This window comes from Homo sapiens, chromosome 14 (genome assembly GCF_000001405.40).
Source record: "Homo sapiens chromosome 14, GRCh38.p14 Primary Assembly".
Classification (NCBI taxonomy): domain Eukaryota; kingdom Metazoa; phylum Chordata; class Mammalia; order Primates; family Hominidae; genus Homo; species Homo sapiens.
In genome coordinates this window covers 50,219,327-50,238,580 of record NC_000014.9, presented here as the reverse complement: position 1 = coordinate 50,238,580, position 19,254 = coordinate 50,219,327, and the positions used below count along the sequence as shown (strand labels likewise).

Sequence of the window (19,254 nt, the reverse complement as noted above, 5' to 3'; positions counted from 1 at the left end):
AGCTCAACCAGAATCTACTTCATTAGCTTTCCAATGATTCTGTATTCTCTGAACGAATGTATTATTATTATTATTATTAGACAGGGTCTCACTGTTACCCAGGCTGGAATGCAGTGGTGCAATCATAGCTCCCTGCAGCCTTGAACTCTTGGGCTCAAGGGATCCCCATCTCAACCTTTCAGATAGCTTTTTTTTTTTTTTTTTTTTGAGACGGAGTCTTGCTCCCCCAGACTGGAGTGCAGTGCCACGATCTTGGCTCACTGCAAGCTCCGCCTCCGGGGTTCACACCATTCTCCTGCCTCAGCCTCCCGAGTAGCTGGGACTACAGGCACCTGCCACCACGCCAGGCTAATTTTTTGTGTTTTCAGTAGAGACAGGGTTTCACCGTGGCCAGGATTGTCTCGATCTCCTGACTTTGTGATTCGACCGCCTCGGCCTCCCAAAGTGCTGGGATTACAGGCGTGAGCCACCACGCCCAGCAATGCTTTGCCCTTTCACCTTGATTATAGGAGATGGTGTTTGGAACAGCTACTTCCCCCACGTACGATGACTTTCCACCTGGTGGTGGTGGCAATATTTGGATGACCTCGGTGGCATCTTCATACCTTGGAGAACCAGAAAACACTCTTTTTGCTCAATAGCACGTTGTATGTAACATATAAACATACAATGCCTTTTTTGTGGGGAGTGGGGAGGCATACTTTTAAATCGATCTTTTGGAGTTTCATACAAAATTATAGTTCCTCTTGGGAAGACCTTTTAGGTATGCTGTCTCTTACAGGGGGTTGGGCATGAGCCTCCCATAAGGGTCAGAGGACAAAGGCCTGTCTGAGGGCCTGCTTCAACTTCTTTCAGGCAGGTGGCTGTGAGAGGACCGAGCTGGCTATGGCAGCAACCCATGAAAGTGAGTGATAACAACATTTATTGTTTCCTGTGGCGTTGCTTTGCTTTGCTATTGACTGGTAGCGCTTGTAGCTTTAAATAAATTGAGGAAGTATGAGAGAGTAAATGGAAGAAATGTTGAGTAAGTCCTTCTTGAAAATGTTTTCAAGTGGGAGAATATTAGTGGTAAATTTCTAACTGTCTTTTAACATTTTAATTGGGCTTGGATCATTCACATTTTCCCCAAATCCTTTCTAAATTAAAAAAAAGGTAAAGGCCAGGTGCAGTGGTTCATGCCTGTAACGGGTGCAGTGGTTCATGCAGTGGTTCATGCAGTCCCAGTACATTGGAAGGCCGAGGCAGGAGGATCGCTTAAGACCAGGAGTTCAAGACCAGCCTGGGCAACAGAACAAGACCCCCATCTCTTAAAAAAAAAAAAAAATACAAATTACAAAATAAATTAGCTGGGCTTGGTGGTGCATACCTGTAGTCCTAGCTACCTGGGAGGCTGAGGCAGGAGGACCCCTTGAGCCTAGGAGTTCAAGGCTGCAGGGAGCTAGTATGATCACGCTACCGCACTCCAGCCTGGGTGACAGAGCGAGACCCTGTCTCTTAAAAAAAATTAATTTAAAAAGGGAAGCAAAATTACAATCTGTCAAATTATTGGCTGGGTGCAGTGGCTCTCGCCTATAATCCCAGCACTTTGGGAGGCTGAAGAAGGCGGATCACCTGAGGTCAGGAGTTCGAGACCAGCCTGGCCAACATGACTAAACCCCGTCTCTACTAAAAATACAAAAAAATTAGCCGGTCTTGGTGGTGTGTGCCTGTAATCCCAGCTACTCGGGAGGCTGAGGCAGGAGAATTGCTTGAACCTGGGAGGCAGAGGTTGCAGTGAGCCAAGATCGCACCACTGCACTCCAGCCTGGGTGACAGAGTGGGACTCTGTCCCGAAAAAAAAAAAAAATATATTAGCATGATAGTTAGCATATTTCAGTACAAATTTGTGATTAAGCTTTTTGTTATGTATACATATGCCCTCCCTCTTATAGTATCAGTGTGTTTAATACTTGCATTTTTTTGTTTTATTTTTATTTTTTTGAGATGGTCTCCCTTTTTTGCCCAGGCTGGAGTGCAGTGGCGCGATCTCGGCTCACTGCAACCTCCTCCACCTCCCGGGTTCAAGTGATTCTCCTGCCTCAGCCTCCTGAGTAGCTGGGATTACAGGCACCCACCACTATTCCTGGCTAATTTTTGTATTTTTAGTAGAGACGGGGTTTCACCATTTTGGCCAGGCTGGTCTCAAACTCCTGACCTCAGGTGATCTGCCCGCCTCAGCCTCCCAAATGCTGGGATTACAGGCATGAGCCACCACGCCCAGCCTAATTTTTTATTTTTTAACACTTGAAGCAAAAGTTTATAGTTAGACTGGAAATTTTTCATTAAAAATAACTCTTAATTAGTGTTTTGAATAAGTGCCATTTTTATGTGGTTGCAAATTCAAAAGTCACAATAAGGGGTCTAGACAAAGTTGGCTGACACCTATAATCTTACTACTTTGGTAGGCCAAGGAGGGAGGCTCTCTTGAGCCCAGGTGTTTTTAGACCAGTCTGGGCAACATAGCAAGACCCCCATCTCAACAACAACAAAAGTCACAAAAAGGTACACGGTGAAAAATCTCCCTTTCATCTCCAGCCACCCAGTTTTCATCCCTGTGGCAACAAAAATCTTTGTAGCCTTGCTGATATGGTTTGGCTGTGTCCCCACCGAAATCTCATCTTGAATTGTAGTTCCTATAATCCCCAAGTGTCATGGGAGGGACCCGGTAGGATGTGATTGAATCATGGGGGCGATTACTCCCATGCTGCAGTTCTCATGATAGTGAGTTCTCACAAAATCTGATGGTTTTATAAGGGCCTTTTCCCACTTTTGCTCAGCACTTCTCCTTGCTGCCGCTATGTGAAGAAGGACATGTTTGCTTCCCCTTCCACCATGATTGTAAAGTTTCCTGAGGCCTCCCCAGCCCTGTGGAATTGTGAGTTGTTTAAACCTCTTTCCTTTATAAATTACCCAGTATTGGGTATGTCTTTATTGGCAGCATGCGAACAGACCAATACGGTAAATGCAGAGAAATTATTTGAGTCAAATGCTTATATAATAAAATGCTGCATTCCTTATATATATATATATATATATATATGAGGAACCATACTTGCAGTACTATACATCCTGCACTTTTCATTTTGCAGCATATCTTAGATAATGTTCCACAGAGGCCTGGTTATTTTAAAATAACTTTATAGGTTCCACTGTATGGATTTACTATTATTTATTGAACTAGTCCCCTATTCCTACTGATGATTATTTAAACTGTTTATTTCTAGGGCGTTTTTTGTTTTGCTTTACTTCTGGTATAATAAACAACACTGCAATGAATAACCTTGTCTCTAAGTGACTTCATGTAAGAGCAAGTATATCTACAGGACATATTCCTAGAATTTGCTAGGTCAAAGAGAAACTTTGATATTATCTAGTTCCCCTTGACAGAAGTTGAAACAATTTATAGTCCTAATACACTTACAATATATTAGAATGCTTGTTTCCTCATATCTTCACCATCATAGTGTGTAATCAAACTTTTTCATCTGTGCTATTCTAATAGGTGAAAAATGATAACAGTATAACCCCCAAAAGAGAATTATCTTTTTCTCCACATCCTCAACAGCATTTGTTATTATCTGTCTTTTGGATATAGGCCATTTTAACTGGGGTGAGATGATATCTTATTGTAGTTTTGATCTGCATTTCTCTAATGATCAATGATGTTGAGCACCTTGTCATATCCCATTTGCCATTTGTATGTCTTCTTTTTTCTTTTTTTGTTTTAAATTTTTTAAAAAGTTTTTTTATAGAGATGGGGTCTCATTATGTTGCCCAGGCTCGTCTTCAATTCCTGGGCTCAAGGGATCCTCCTGCCTCGGCCTCCCAAAGTGCTGGGATTACAGGTGTTGAGCCACTGTGCCTGGCCCCTTTGTTTTTCTTATTGAATTTTAGCCTTTTAATTTGTAGGAGCTCTTTTATATTTTACTGAAATTAACTACAAAAATGAATTGCACCAGCTTGGGCAACATGGTGAGACCCTGTCTCTACCAAAAATACAAAAAATTAGCCGGGCATGGTGACACGTGCCTGTGATTCCAGCTACTCGGGAGGCTGAAGTGGGAGGATCACTTGAGCCCAGGAGGCGGAGGTTGCAGTGACCCAAGATCATGCCGCTGCACTGCAATCCAGCCTGAGTTAGAGTAAGACCCCATCTCAAACAAACAAACAAACAAACAAAAAACCCACAAAAATGAGTTGCTGCTATTTTTTCCAGTTTGTCATTTTCCTTTTGGCTTATCTGGTGATTTTTTTTGCCCTTTTTTTTTTTTTTTTTTTTTTTTTTTAAAGAGACAGGGTCTTACTGTGTTGCCCAGGCTGGTCTTCAACTCCTGGCCTCAAGCTATGCTTCTACCTCGGCCACTGGAGTTGTTGGGATTACAGGCATGTACCACCATGCCCGGCTCATACATTTATAAAAATTGAATTTATCGGTCTTTTAGATCTTGTGTCATAGTGAAAGTGTCTTTTTCCGTTCTGAGGTTATAAATGAATCATTGTATGGTTTTATTGTTTACATTTAAATCTTTGACATATCTGGAGTTTTTGCTAGTGTATTGTATAGGGTATGGATCCAACATTTTTTCTAGATAGCCCATTTGTCTGAATGAGAAACTTTTTTTTTTTTGAGACGGAGTCTTGCTCTTGTTGCCCAGGCTAGAGTGCAATGGCGTGATCTAGCTCACCACAACCTCCACCTTCCGTGTTCAAGCGATTCTCCTGACTCAGCCTCCCGTGTAGCTAAGAATTACAGGCATGCGCCACCTTGCCCAGCTAGTTTTGTTATTTTTAGTAGAGAGGGGGTTTTTCCATGTTGGTCAGGCTGGTCTCAAACTCCCGACCTCAGGTGATCCACCCGCCTCGGCCTCCCAAAGTGCTGGAATTGCAGGTGTGAGCCACCTCGCCCGGCCCTGAATGGGAAACTTTTTACTGCTGTCATTCTTGGACTATCCTCCACATGCACGTGGATCATATTTCTGTTTGCTCAGCCCAGACATCAGAACTCAGATGCCTGTAGAGACTAGGCAAGTTACATAAAAGGGTGAAGAGTGCCAGGTGGGAAGTATAGCCAACTGGAAATGGATGGCATATTTTTATAAAGAGGGCAGCCACTACCCGGTGCCTGCTGATTACTCTCTTGCACGAATGCAGTAGGTCCCAGTGTTGCCAGATCTTTGTCAAGAGAAGCTGAAAATATACATTTTTATATGAAGCCTCTTGATTTTAAAATGTTAACAATTAAATTTAAATACAGCCTTAGCTAAACAAAATATGTCTTCAGGCCTGACTTGGCCCAGAAAAGCCTTCTGATATTCCTAGCCAAGAATGAGATTTCTAACAAGTTTACTCTCCTATGAGTAAAGAGAACATACATGGTCTAGTAGTTTGACATCACAGTAGTTTATAGCTGGAGTCTGGGAACAGGAGAGAAAAGTAAGGACCCTCTATATAAGCCAAAGTCTTCGCTCTCACAGACTGAAACATTAATGGGAGAAATACAAGCATTTTACCATCCCACCTTTTATCCCAAGTACATGTGAATGGATATGGCCATTTATTAGAGGATGTTCTTGATTTAGTGGATACTTTAGTGGATTAGAAAAATAATCTTATTTTCCAACTCTGCCATTCTGATTTTGCCCAAATGAAAAAGTGGTGCATGTTTTGGGGAGAATAATTGCTCAGCTACTGATGCCGGAACTGAATTGTAGTACTGACTTATTTTTTGTACCCTGTTCGTCTTTTCCCTTTCTCACTGCTGGTGGCTAGGGACAGGGAGTAAAATATCTTCTTTACAACCTGTTAAAAGTAATGTGCTCAGCCTCTTTAGTGGGATGAAATTTGTGGTAATGAGTTACCAGAGCCTATGCCTCTTTGGATTGAAAAGCTTGTCAGGATCTTTTCTGGGTTGCTAATGAGTGTTTCCTAGACGCCGATCCAGGTTTTGTAGGACCTGAAGCCTACACAATTTGGATGACACGATTAAGAAAACAATTCGAAAATATCTTGAAAGTTTTGTAAAAACGATATGATTTTGTGAACGCACAGGGGCCCGTGCAAGTGAAGGACCTTTCAATTCAAGCTTGATCAACGTCACTGTCATCTGCCCCTTCTGACCCTACCACCAGGCTAAGGGCTTTCCACGCCTCATCTCTCGGTCCCCACACCATCACCCTAAGAAATAGTTACTGTATCTCCTAACGATATATTATATATAGTACCTACTTTGTGTAAACATACGGTACTCATGAAAACAAGCCACGTAGAGCACAAATACGTTAAATATCCTGTCCAGCCCGAATGCCCCTTTCTCTCCACGTCCCTATGCAGCCTCCCACGACGGTAGTCCTGGGGCTCCAGCGCTACAAGAGTGGCACCGAGTCCGGATTGTCTTAAGCAGGTCGAGAGGAGGGAGCATATGGGTAAAAAGCAGTCAAACTGAAGAGTCTGGAGCGGCCCCCAGCACAGTCTCGGGAAAAGCGGACTCCCCCGGGGCCCCAGGCCCCGCACCCCCGCGCCGGGCTGGCGCCTGTGCCTGCTCCGCGGCGCGCATGCTCCGTGTTAGGCCTCTTGGGCTATTCGGGATAATGAGCGCCGGGCCGAGGGGGCGGGCCGAGCCTCGGCTGCTGGGACTCAGGGCTCAGCGGCGACCCCAAGGCACTCTGCGCTGCTGCTAAAGGGGCAGCAACGGCGGCCAGCGCTGTGCGCGCCATAGCGAGGCTCGCTCGCCCGACGCGCACTCCGGGTCGGTCCCCAGAGCTCTGTGGAGGTGACTCGAGTGGGCAGGGCCGGGCGGCGCTGTCGGCTGGGAGGGCGGGGAGGAGGCGATGAGGAGACGAGCAGCCGCCGCCGCCGCCGCCGCTGCTCACCGCCCGCCGCGGCCGTAGCGGGAGTCGGGGCGGGGCTGGGCCAGCTGTACCCCTGACGGGCCGCGAACCCAGACAAAGGAGGAGGAGCCGCCCCAGAAGCGGGCCAGCGCCGCCGGGAAAGGAGGTCGCCGCCCGGGGTCGCCCGGGCTTGCGGGTCGCCGCGCTTCCTCTGCGGGCGCTGCGGGAGGCGAGGGCCGCCTCGGCGGAGGAAGCCGACCCCGGGGTCTCCGCCAGCCCGCCGGCGCCGCCTCCGAGCCGCCTCGGCCGTAGCCTCGGCCCGGGCGGGAGGCGGCGGCCGCCGGCGAGGCGAGGCGGCCCGCGCCCTGCCTGTCAGGCCACCGGCCCGGCCCGCGGGCTGCCCCCGATGCGGAGGCGCTGTCGCCGGGGCCATGCAGCAGGCGCCGCAGCCTTACGAGTTCTTCAGCGAGGAGAACAGTCCGAAATGGCGGGGACTGTTGGTCTCGGCCCTGCGGAAGGTCAGTGCTAGGGGCGGGGCGGCCGGCGGGTGGCCCGTGGCCCCCCGAGCTTCTAACGGGGAGCAGGTCGTCCCTCCCACAGGGCTCGAGTCCCCGGGGCCGAGCCGTTTCTCGTTGGCTGGCAATGGGGGGCTCACAATTGCCTGTTGCATTCTGAAGGACGTTTCTCAAGTTTTTTTTTTTTGCCTGGTCCCGGAAGGAAGGTTTTGTTATGATCATAAAACTGGATTTCATGTTGCAGTCATTTCGTCAGGCAACTTCCGCCGTTGACCAATTTGTTGTCCTCAGGCTGGAATCGGGCAAGAGAAAGTCCCGCTGGTATTTAGACAGTTTCTAAAACAAAAGCACATTTTCAGGCCGGGTAATTACTTTTAATTAAGTTCTTTGGGAGTGTTCCCCCTAGGCGGTTTGCTTGTCAAGGGTATCCACTTATGAGGCAATGGTTTTTTGTAATATGGATGTTTCACATGTGTGAAATGTCAGTGAGTCATAATATTCTTATTCATTTTACAGTTCTCAAGGTAAATTTAAAGCGCCTTCCCACTTCCTGCAAACGGTGTCTTACCTGTTTACAAGAGATTACCCTTAGAAAATTTGGTCAGTGTCTTCAGTGTCTTCACGACCAAATTGCGATTTAGGACTTGAAATCATTTTAAGGAACAAGAAAGGGGCAACTCCTGCAAATCAGTCTTTCATGTTTGGGTGCATTGCTAGGGTGCATCTTTCCTGTAGATGGTGGCGGTCTTCCTCTGTGAATTTAGGTAGTAACCATACGATCATTTTTATAATAAATCCTTCTGTAAGATCAAGACATTTAAAGACTGTGAATAGGTGCGTGATCAGCTGTCATGCCTGTTGAGCAGGGGCTTTCTTTCTTTGCCGTTAATGCAGACTTAGTCTCTTCTGCCTTTTGTGCAAAATAACCAAGAATACATTCTAAAATAAGGAAAAAATAAAGATTAATTTAAAAGACTATACTTGGAAAATATATCCTCAGACATTAAATTTCTATAAATGAAAGGAAGTAGTGTATTTTAAAGTTAAAGACATTTTCCTCATGCGATGAGAGTTGCAGATTTTCCCTTATTTTCATAATTCTTACAAGGAAGTATTGCTTTCCTCAGGGCAAACACTAAGTCGTATCTTTTTAAAGAACCTGGCAGAAATGACTAGTGGCAGCTAGACAGTTATTCCATTGGTATACCAAGTGCTAAAGTATTAAATTGACCTTACTTCCATGTGCAGCCCAATTCTGTAAGGAGAGGGAAAGAAATGAAAAGTGTGCTGAGTGGTGAAAATGAACTCTGGCCTGAATTAAAAGCAAAGGGGGAAATGCCTAGATAGTAATTAGCCCTTTGACCACAGACAAGTGTGAGTGCAGTAATCAGGTAGGCCTATATTGTTGGCAATGTGACGCAGGTATATACCCATTTATAACTTTCTGGTAGCAAATAGTATTTGGGTGTGTGTTGCATAACTTGTTCAATAGGTAGCTTTGATTCTAATAATCCTTTATGTCCAGAAACAGATTTATGTTTTCTTTTTCTTCAAATAGAGACAGGGTTATGCTATGTTGCCCAGGCTGGTCTTGAACTTCTGGCCTCAAGCAGTCCGCCCACCTCTGCCTTCCAAACTGTTGGGATTACAGGCATAAACCACCTCGCACCAGACCCAGATTTTTTTTTTTTTTTTTCAAGTTAGGCTGGAGAAGCCAAGATTAGCATCCAATCCTAGTCCATTGCTTTGGTGCTATTACTTTGCATTTATATTGTGCTTGTTTTCCTGGAACTCAGGTGCCTTGTAGATACTATGTTATATTCCACAGTTCTAGTATGTTCTTTATGAAATAAATACATCTAAGAAAATTTGGTCTTTTGAGGTGAATTCAGAAAACATTTTCTATTAACTTACTGTTGTGATAGAATTGAAATACATACGTATGGAAAATTTTTTTATATTTTTGGAAAAATTTTGGTAAAAGTAATTAAGATTATGTCCACTTTTATGGTATTTAGGACATTGCAACTTGTAGGTCTGTAGTGCCTGCTAAGAGCTGTAGCTCTTAGGGAGCTAAAGGTTCACTCTTTCTTTGCAGGAAGTTTTAAATTCTGGTATGCATCAGCCACCTTGTCTTTGTAAAATGAGAATTTCTACCATTTTGGGGGAGTCTCTGTCTTCACATTCAGAGCATCTAGAACTTGGCATCCTTCCTCTAGCTGACCAGATCGTTACAAAGACAACTAGGATTTGATTGGAATATCTCTCTCCTTCAATTGGTGTTGCCATTGTACATGTGGTGTATTCTAGCTTCATTAATTCACTTAACCATTATTGAACACATTTTACATACTTGACATGATGCGGGATCCTAAGAGTACAAAGTTAAAATAAAGGCCCCTCCAAAGATGTATACCATCTAAACCAAAAATTCTAAAATTTGAGGTTTTGGTTTATGTAAATGAGAGCGGTTCTGAGCTCAGAGTTCAGTAAGGGGTATTTGTGTGTCTATGAAAGCAGCAATGTAGCTTACTTGGCTCTGTCAGTTTAGTCCACTTGGACATCTTGGTGGAACCTCCAAAACTGTTAGAACGTAATTTTCAGAAAGGTAAAGTCATCACTTCCATGCAAATGTAAATGAACATGTATCAATTATTTTGATTCAGCCCATTGATGAGGGAACTAGTAAGATGTTAAAGTCACTTAATATGAAAATTTGAGGAGGTATTTATAGGCAATTTAATAAGGGAATATTAAGACTGTTGGGTTACATACAGAATTAGTTAATACCCTACAAGAAACATAAAAGAGTAGGCTTTGGGTTATATTTTCCTCTGGCTAAAAATTACTTGCATCTCAGTGGGCGTGGTGGCTCACACCTGTAATCCAGCACTCTGGGAGGCTGAGGCTGGTGGATCAACTGAGTTTAGGAGTTCGTGACCAGCCTGGCCAGCATGGTGAAACCCCGTCTCTACTAAAAAATACCAAAAATTAGCTGGGTGTGGTGGTGTGTGCCTGTAATCCCAGCTGCTCAGGAGGCTGAGGCAGGAGAATCACTTGAACCTGCTAGGCAGAGGTTGCAGTGAGCCGAGATCACACCACTGCACTCCATCCTGGGCGACAGAGCGAGACTCCATCTCAAAAAAAAAAAAAAAATTACTTGCATCTCTATCTGCTGAAAAGCTGTAACTTAATCTTATAGATGTGTAAAATAGTCAGTAGAAATTAATAAAAGATTCAAGCATAGCACTGTACTGAAACACAGCCAGTATTCTTTTGCTTATTTTCCAGTTTTGGCTAGTTTTTATGAAAACTGGATATCTATGTCTATATCCATGTATATATCCATATATACCCATATATAGATCCATATATATATGTATTTGACAAAGTCACCATTGTCAACATTGAAAATTCAAGGGATTTTTAAAAAACCAATCTCAAGTATTCATTGCATTACATAGAAACACAGAGATGGGCTGGGCGCAGTGGCTCATGCCTGTAATCCCATTTGGGAGGCCAAGGCGGGCAGATTACCTGAGGTCAGGAGATCGAGACCATGCTGGCTAACACGGTGAAACCCCATCTCTACTAAAAATACAGAAAAAAACCCAAAAAATTAGCCGGGCGTGGTGGCGGACGCCTGTAGTCCCAGCTACTCGGGAGGCTGAGGCAGGAGAATGGTATGAACCCAGAAGGTGGAGCTTGCAGTTGAGCCGAGATCGCGCCACTGCACTCCAGCATGGGCGATGGAGTAAGACTCTGTCTCAAAAAAAAAAAATACCAAAATTAGCCAAGTGTGGTGGTGCATGCCTGTGATCCCAGCTACTCGGGAGGCTGAGGCAGAGAATCTCTTGAACATGGGAGGCAGAGGTTAGAGTGGGCTGAGATCGCACCACTGCACTCCAGCCTGGGCGACAGAGCGAGACTCTGTCTCAAAAAAAAAAAAAAAGAAAGAAAGAAAGAAAAAGAAACACAGAGATAGACAAATAGGTTTATGGAAAAATAATTTTGGGAATAGAAATGTGGTGTTCTTTAGCTTTTTGCTTGTTCTTAAACTTTTAAAATAGAACCTCACCTAGATCATTTAAAAACAGAGAGCTACAAAGCAGAGTGAAATGACACTACTAATGGATAATGCATGGATTGTTAACATTACTGCTAAATTATGTATCTTCCCTAAAAGAGCCTAGAACATAATTGCCTTCACCACTGCTCCCCAAGATCATTGAAGCTATTGTGTTACTTGGGGAAAAAAGAGCATGGTGTATATTTGTAAATGCAGTTTATTACCTGTGTCGTTGAAATCCCTTGGTACTATATGCATGTGTTATTTGATTATATGTTGAGATAAATCAGCATTCTTCATATGGGAAATATGCCTCAAAATCATTTTATCAGATTTTACAGTCCCTGATATTTATTTTGTAGATGTCTTTTCTGTAAGGTGTTTTTCACCAGGCTAGCCATAGAAAAGAACATGGCTGTTTTCTTGCCAGCTGTAGTTAAAAATGTCAGAGAAAGCTAGAAAGAATTGGTTGAATTACTTTGTTCCTGAGTCCAATTAGATTCAGGTTAAATATCGACCTCCCCACCCTGTGACAATTTGCTCTTAGATATCTAAAAGGCAAGAGGTGTGAGAGAATGTCTGGGTTAATTAATAGCAGTCTACGGCAAGGAAAAAGATCGGTAGGGGCTTTGATTTAAAAATGGTTTTGTGAAGTTCTACTGAGATCCTAGTGTTTCTGCGTTTGTACAAATGTCTCTTGGAAGTTTGTTTTAGAAGATGGCACTGGATCTTTCCTGAGGCCCACAAGAAAAGTACAGGGTGATCTGAGAAAATATAACTGGTGTCATTGATATATGAGAGTCAAAGAAGACTTTAAGCAAGCAACATTTGTGCTTCTTTCTGGATTATATATTCAAATATAGTAATATTACTGTCTCCAGGCTGGTCTTGAACTCCTGGGCTCAAGCGATCCTCCCACCTTGGCCTCCAAAAATGCTGGGATTACAGGTGTAAGCTACGTCGCCTGGCTGCAGACACTGTTCTTGATACGGAAGATGTAGCAGAGCCCCTGCTGTTATAAAGCTTGTGTTCTAAGTGGCTGTGGCAGAGAGACAGACAATAAGGAAGTAAACAATTATCTGAAAGATCAGTAGAATTAACAAGAAAAAAAAAGGGCGGGGGGGAAGGATTTGAGGCTGAGGGGAAAGTAAGAACATGATTTGTTTGTTTGTTTGTTTTGAATAGGTCTCAGATTCTGAATTTAATGACTTATTTTAAAAAACAAGAAGAATAAGTGGATGAAGCTAGTATGGTAGACTGTAGGTACACTGAGTTAAGGTCTCTGCCTGAGAATAGGAAGTCCTGTTGGGTTCTCATTTACATAGCAAAGTAATTAGATTAACTTGATCAGAATTGCTTTTTGAAAAGATTACTTCAAGTCAAAGCCAAAAACTAATAAGAGATCCTGTGATTTTTGTGACATGAGCCTGTTCTGGAATTCCTAAAGCCGCTGAATGTAACAGTAGAACTCGAGGGAGTCATTTGGAATTATTCCAAACTAATAATGACCCAAACTGACCCGAAGAGTTCAGCCAGAACTAGATGAGCGGTAGGAATGTACTTTAACTTGCTGTACTTGGCTCCCTGTCAGCAATGATTAAGTAGCCTTCTATTTTTGGTTTAATTTTGGTATGGTATATTTGGAGCAATAATATTCCATTAAAGTGTTTTATGCTGAGTATTCAAAGCATTACCTGTGTTACCCCTTGACATAAATCAACTATATGTCTTTTGTATTAACCATGGACTCTCTTTCAAGGGAACAGTAATTTGATTATATCCTGCATATTTGAATCAAAAGGAATTTTAATGTAACTAGTGGATTTAGCATTATCTCATGTTAAAAATTAACAACCAAAAATTATTTTCTTCCATGGGCCAGGTGCAGTAGCTCATGCCTGTAATCCTAGTACTTTGGGAGGCTGAGATGGGAGGATTGCTTGAGGCCAGGAGTTCAAGACCAACCTGGCCAACATAGCGAGACCCCATGTCCATAAAAAATTATTTTCTTCTTTTACATAAGAATATATGCTAGTACAAAGTTTTTTCAAATGGATAAAGTATTACACATTCACATTTTAACATGTAGAAGTGAAGCAACAAGATGAAAATAATACCAAGATCTAGATATAAGGACTAGTATTAGCTCTTCTAAGTAAAGTTTTCTGTACTCCAGTTTTCTTCCTCATTAGGTCATTTTGTAAACTCAAACACTATTTCTCTCTCTCTCTCTTTTTTTTTTTTTTTGACAGGGTTTTGCTCTGCTACGCAGGCTGGAGTACAGTGGCATGATCATAGCTCACTGCAGCCTCCAACTCCTGGGCTCAAATGATCCTCCCACTATAGCCTCCTGAGTAGCTGGGACTACAGGCATGTGCCACTACACCCAGCTAATTTTCTTATTTTTTTTGTGGAGACAAGGTCTTGCTATGTCCTCTGGCTGGTCTCAAATTCCTGGACTCAAGTGATCCTCCAGCCTTGGCCTCCCAAAGTTCTGGGATTACAGGAGTGAGCCACCTGCCTGCCAAAAACTACTTCTTACATACAAAGTATATTATAGTTCTTTCTTAACTGACCTATTAGCAGCATTTGACAGTTGATCTCTTCTTTTTTTGAAATCCTTTCTTCATTTGGCTTCCAGAAGAATATCAAGCTTTCAGGGATTTTTTTTCTCTGAATATTCCTTCTAGTTTCCCTTCCCTTGATTCCTCCTCATCTTTCTGTGACCACATCCTTCTGACCTCCCCAGAGCCCATTTATATATATGTGTGTGTGTGTGTGTGTGTGTGTGTGTGTGTGTGTGTGTGTGTGTGTGTATATATATATTTTTTTTTTTTCCTGAGACGGAGTCTTGCTCTGTCACCCAGGCTGGAGTGCAGTGGTGCGATCTTGGCTCACTGCAACCTCTGCCTCCCAGGCTCAACCAGTTCTCCTGTCTCAGCCTCCCGAGTAGCTGGGATTACAGGCGCGCACCACCACGTCTGGTTAATTTTTTTTTTTTTATATTTTTAGTAGAAATGGGGTTTCACCATGTTGGCCAGGCTGGCCTTGAACTCCTGACCTTGTGATCTGCCCGCCTCGGCCCCCCAAGTGTTGGGATTACAGGCGTGAGCCACTGCGCCTGGCCAATTTTTAGACTTCTATTTCTATTAACACATCCTCCTTTGGAGATGCCATCCTGCCTCATTGCTTCACGTATAATCTAAATCTGATAATTACCAAATTTACATTTCTGGCTCAGACCTCTTTCTTAAACATGAATGTTCAACTCTTTTTTTGAGACAGGGTCGCACTCTGTCACCCAGGATGGAGTGCAGTGGCAAGATCACAGCTCACTATAGCCTTAACCTCCTGGGCTCAATGATCCTCCCACCTCACCCCCCTGCCGCCCCCATATAGCTGGGACTACAGGTGTGTGCCACCACACCCAGCTAATTTTTTGTTTGTTTGTTTGTTTTAGATGGAGTCTCGCTTTTTTGCCAGGCTGGGGTGTAGTGGTGCAATCTTGGCTCACTGCAACCTCCACCTCTCAGGTTCAAGTGATTCTCCTGCCTCAGCCTCCCGAGTAGCTGGGACTACAGGCGTGTGCCACCACGCCCAGGTAATTTTTTTGTATTTTTAGTAGAGACGGGGTTTCACCATGTTGGCCAGGATGGTCTCAATCTGTTGACCTCGTCACCTGCCCGCCCCGGCCTCCCAAAGTACTGGGATTACAGGGATGAGCCACCACGCCCAGCCCCAATTTTTAAAAAACTTTTTGTAGAGACAGGGTCTTACTGTGTTGCATAAACTGGTCTCCAACTCCTGGGCCCAAGCATTCCTCCTGCCTCAGCCTCCAAAGTGTTTGAGTTACAGGCATGAAGCACCACACCCGGCCAACTTTTTACTTGATATTTCCACAGAGGCATCTCAACCAACACTGTATCCTTTTCTTCCCCTGCAAACTTGTTTCTTTTGTAGTGGTTAACATATCAATAAATGGCTACTCCATCCTTCCGGTTGCTCAAACTAAAAATCTTAAGTTATTCTTGAATATTGTCTTTTTTTATACCACACATCTAATTTGTCAGCACATCCTTTTAGCTCTACCTCAAACTATATATTTAGTTACCGTTTTATACTTTTTGACTTTTACCACCTGGAACCAAGTCATCATCACCAATCTCCTGGAATATTGAAATATCTTTTCAACTGGTCTCTGATCATCTGCTCTTGTCCTATTTAGTTTCTTTTTCTCCCCAAACACAAAGAGATAAGTGAGATCATTTCACTCCTTTGTTCAAAACCCTCTCAGTGCTTCTCAGAATAAAAGTCAAAAAAGTCCTCCCAAAGGTTTACTAGGCCCTCTGCAGTCTAGGGCTGCCCCACCTCCCGCTTTTACCTCTCTGACCTCTTTAATATTGTCCCTTGTTTGTTCTGCTTCTGCCCCATACTGGCTTTCTTGTTTCTATAACGTAGACATGTTTTAGTCTTAGGACTTTTGTACTTGCTGAATTTTCTACCTGAAACACCCTTCCCTCAGATAATCACGTGGCTGGCCCTTTTACCTCCTTTAGGTCTTTATAGTCAGACATCATTTTCTTGGAGAGATTTTCTCTTACAGCCTATCTAAAACTGCTACATCCTCCTGCTTCCCAGACAGTCCCACATCAGTGTTCACAGTATTTTTTCCCATAAACCTGTATCTCCAATATAAATGATGTATCCAGTTCTCAAGCCAGAAACCTAGTCATCATTCTTCCCCTCTTTCTCATGCCAGGCTAACATGTATTCATCACTGAATCTACTTGATTCTTTCTCCTAAATTAGGAGTTTTCTAACTTTTTTTGCTGTGTATCCCCAAAAGAATTTTGAAAAACTTGCACATTTTTATGCTGACATCTAGAAATTTTCATTTTACATTTAAATAGTTGCAGTAGATGTAATTTCATATGTGTTATAAATACTGATGTTTTAAGGTAAAACAGTTGCATCAGTCTTTTAAATGTGCTGAATGGAATTTAAATACCAAAATAATTTGATATCCACCATCATTTTTTAAAAATACACATGAAAAGTGTGTCTTTAAAAGTTGGAAATTTTACATTGTCCTTTTTTTCTCTGTGAACTTTTTTCATTATATTTCCCCTGCATAATTCTAATATGATATTTTTAGATTTAAGTCTTTAATCGCACTTTTTTATTTATACTCCTTACAACAACAAAAAAGTCTACATATTGAATTTAAAAGGATTTTCCCTACAACCGTAAAGCTTTAAAACCTGTCTTTTGAACTGAATTATTATTATTATTATTATTAAAGTCTCATTCTGTCACCCAGGCTGGAGTACAGTGGCATGATCATGGCTCACTGCAGCTTCAACCTCCCAGGCTCAAGCGATCCTCCCATTTCAGCCTCCTGAGTAGCTAGGACTGCAGGCACATGCCACCACACTTGGCTAATTTTTTAAAAATCTTAAAGATGCTTTCTTTTTATTTTCATGGGCCTGTCCCCTCAGGAGGATGTATTTTTCCACTAGGCTAGAGGATGGAAGAGGCAAGATACTTAAATGAAAATATTTGTAATTATCTCTTTGTTTAGTGTCTAGGATTTATTTATTGCACTTCAGAGCAACATGTATCCTATAGAGAATTTCAAGATAAGTGAGAGATCTGCCTTTCTTAGTAAAATGAGAGGGCAACTGTGAAAACAGGTATAAAAGGAGACCCTGCTTTACTCACTGTGTGCAGGCACCTTGTCAGGCAGATCTTCTTTAGGAAAGAGTACATATGGCTGTTTAGAAAGTGTCCTGACAGACGTGGGTGTTTGGCCTGGGAATTTATTAAACATAAGTGAATGAAACAAATTTAATAGCGATCTTTTCCCAGTTCACAGGGGAAAAAAAGCAATTATTTTTTCAATTTTATTTTTCTTCCATAAATTAGAAAAAAAAATCTTTGTTGTCTGCTGCAATTTACTTGCTAGTGAGTAGTGAAAGATTGTAAAATAAATGAGCGAATGATCATGGAGGTTTTAAAGGGAAAATGGCTTTTAATACTTTTTGGTTTTTTTCTTAGAAACATGTTCCTGTAGTTTGATTTTAAGTTTTAAAGTCATTACTAGCATTGTCCCTGCTGTGATAGAATATGAGTCTTAAAATTTCACGTTCTGCAAAGAACACTGATTTCCAAATGATCTGCCACTGGAACAAATTGGGAACCATTTTTCTAGCCTGTACTGTCTTGGGTTTACAAGCAAATGACCTGCCTTTATGGGAAGGTGCTTCTGGGTCATAGGCCATTCAAAGAAAACTTTGATGACAAAAATTTTTGCTTCAGCTAATCTTTTTTACATATTTGATTATATTATGGTAAGCTCTCACCTAATATTAAGTAGAAATAGCTTCTTGGCCTGTACTTATCTGCATTTTAAATAAACTTACATTGTGAAAGCCTGCTGAAAGTACCTAATTAAGAGCATGGACTCTGAGAATTATTAATGGACAGTGGGAGGAATAGAGAAACGTAAGAGAGGGAATTCCTTCATTTATAATGTTGTATGAGAACCAGGTCTCCAGATACATTTCCAGTGAAATGAAAACAAATTTTATGGAGTTTAAAATTTTTTCCAGTATCCAGATAATTTCAGTGAGGCCAAGAGATCTGTTTGCTGCTGTGAATCTATTTAACAAGTATTTACTGAGTGCTTTCTTTATGCAGGGTCTGTTCTTTTTTTTTTTTTTTTTGAGATGGAGTCTCGCTCTGTCGCCCAGGCTGGAGTGCAGTGGTGCTATCTTGGCTCACTGCAAGCTCTGCCTCCCGGGTTCACGCCATTCTCCTTCCTCAGCCACCCTAGTAGCTGGGACTACAGGCGCCCGCCACCACGCCCAGCTAAGTTTTTTTTTTTGTATTTTTAGTAGAGATGGGGTTTCACCATGTTAGCCAGGATGGTCTCGATCTCCTGACCTCGTGATCTGCCCGCTTCGGCCTCCCAAAGTGCTGGGATTACAGGCGTGAGCCACCGCGCCTGGCCCAATGCAGGGTCTGTTCTTTTAATGACATACTAGATTACCTGTATGCTAAGCATACAGGTGTAGGGAAATAGGAGGAGGAGACCGAAAACAAGAAATGGGAGCTGGTGTGGTAGTGCCCACCTGTAGTCCCAGTCACAAGGGAGGCTGAGGTGGAAGGATCACTTGAGCCCAGGAGTTCGAGGCTTAACAGTGAGTGGTGATCACACCACTGCACTCCAGCCTGGGTGACAGAGCAAGATTCTGTCTCCACACCTCTCCCCTGCCCCCCAAAAAACAAACGAGAAATGGTTCCTGATCTTAATGAGTTTAGAGTATGCAGCTGTGGTTTCAATTTTTAATTATACACTTTGATTAGAAAAATGTTGCCTTAGAATATTATATTTTAGAATTATTTTTTAAAACCTTACTGGGATGTAATTGATATAAAGTATATATTTACAGTACATATATTTACAATGTACAATTTGATGTTTTCAACAATGTGATAAGTTATATATACACAGTAAAACCATCCCAGTAAAGCTAGTAGACATATCCTTCAGCCCCATAAATTTCCTCTTGACTGTAATTCTCCCTCCTATTTCTCCCCACTCTCAGGAGACATCCCAAGCCATCACTAATCTGTTTTCTGTCATTATCGATTGCATTTTCTAGAGTTTTATATTAATACTGATAGAATCATACAGTACATACTCTTTTTTTTCAATCTGGCTTTCAGCATGATTATTTTAGATTCATTTATGTTGCATGTATCAATAGTTCATTCCTTTTTATTGCTCAGTAGTGTATTC

The 19,254-nt window shown here is 42.4% G+C and overlaps 1 protein-coding gene across 11 annotated transcripts in view, besides 5 other annotated features; it reads left to right on the top strand.

The window, feature by feature from the left end:
• Positions 823-1,023: a silencer, noted in NCBI's record as "peak2154 fragment used in MPRA reporter construct". NCBI's record gives its function as "represses an SCP1 promoter by STARR-seq MPRAs in K562 erythroleukemia cells {active_cell/tissue: K562}" and the evidence as "EXISTENCE:reporter gene assay evidence [ECO:0000049][PMID:32103011]".
• Positions 878-1,017: a silencer, noted in NCBI's record as "silent region_5719". NCBI's record gives its function as "represses an Ori minimal core promoter by ATAC-STARR-seq in GM12878 lymphoblastoid cells {active_cell/tissue: GM12878}" and the evidence as "EXISTENCE:reporter gene assay evidence [ECO:0000049][PMID:35858748]".
• Positions 6,092-6,181: an enhancer, noted in NCBI's record as "active region_8354". NCBI's record gives its function as "activates an Ori minimal core promoter by ATAC-STARR-seq in GM12878 lymphoblastoid cells {active_cell/tissue: GM12878}" and the evidence as "EXISTENCE:reporter gene assay evidence [ECO:0000049][PMID:35858748]".
• Positions 6,332-7,411: a silencer, noted in NCBI's record as "silent region_5718". NCBI's record gives its function as "represses an Ori minimal core promoter by ATAC-STARR-seq in GM12878 lymphoblastoid cells {active_cell/tissue: GM12878}" and the evidence as "EXISTENCE:reporter gene assay evidence [ECO:0000049][PMID:35858748]".
• The window catches only part of SOS2 (SOS Ras/Rho guanine nucleotide exchange factor 2), a 114,753-nt gene continuing 102,197 nt past the window's right edge, over positions 6,699-19,254 (top strand). For 5 of the 11 annotated variants that reach the window (NM_001411020.1, NM_006939.4, XM_047431716.1 and 2 more), the window contains exon 1: positions 7,003-7,384. In NM_001411020.1, coding sequence (NP_001397949.1) covers positions 7,298-7,384 — 87 coding nt within the window. In that variant the 5' untranslated portion in view covers positions 7,003-7,297. Of the gene's footprint in view, positions 6,809-7,002; positions 7,385-7,464; positions 7,746-14,910; positions 15,052-19,254 lie in introns of those variants that run through there. The other 6 variants (XM_047431717.1, XM_047431714.1, XM_047431715.1 and 3 more) reach the window with 3 other exon arrangements.
• Positions 12,247-12,773: an enhancer, noted in NCBI's record as "NANOG hESC enhancer chr14:50692526-50693052 (GRCh37/hg19 assembly coordinates)". NCBI's record gives its function as "activates a minimal SCP1, AML or CMV promoter by ChIP-STARR-seq in primed H9 embryonic stem cells {active_cell/tissue: H9 hESC(primed)}" and the evidence as "EXISTENCE:reporter gene assay evidence [ECO:0000049][PMID:30033119]".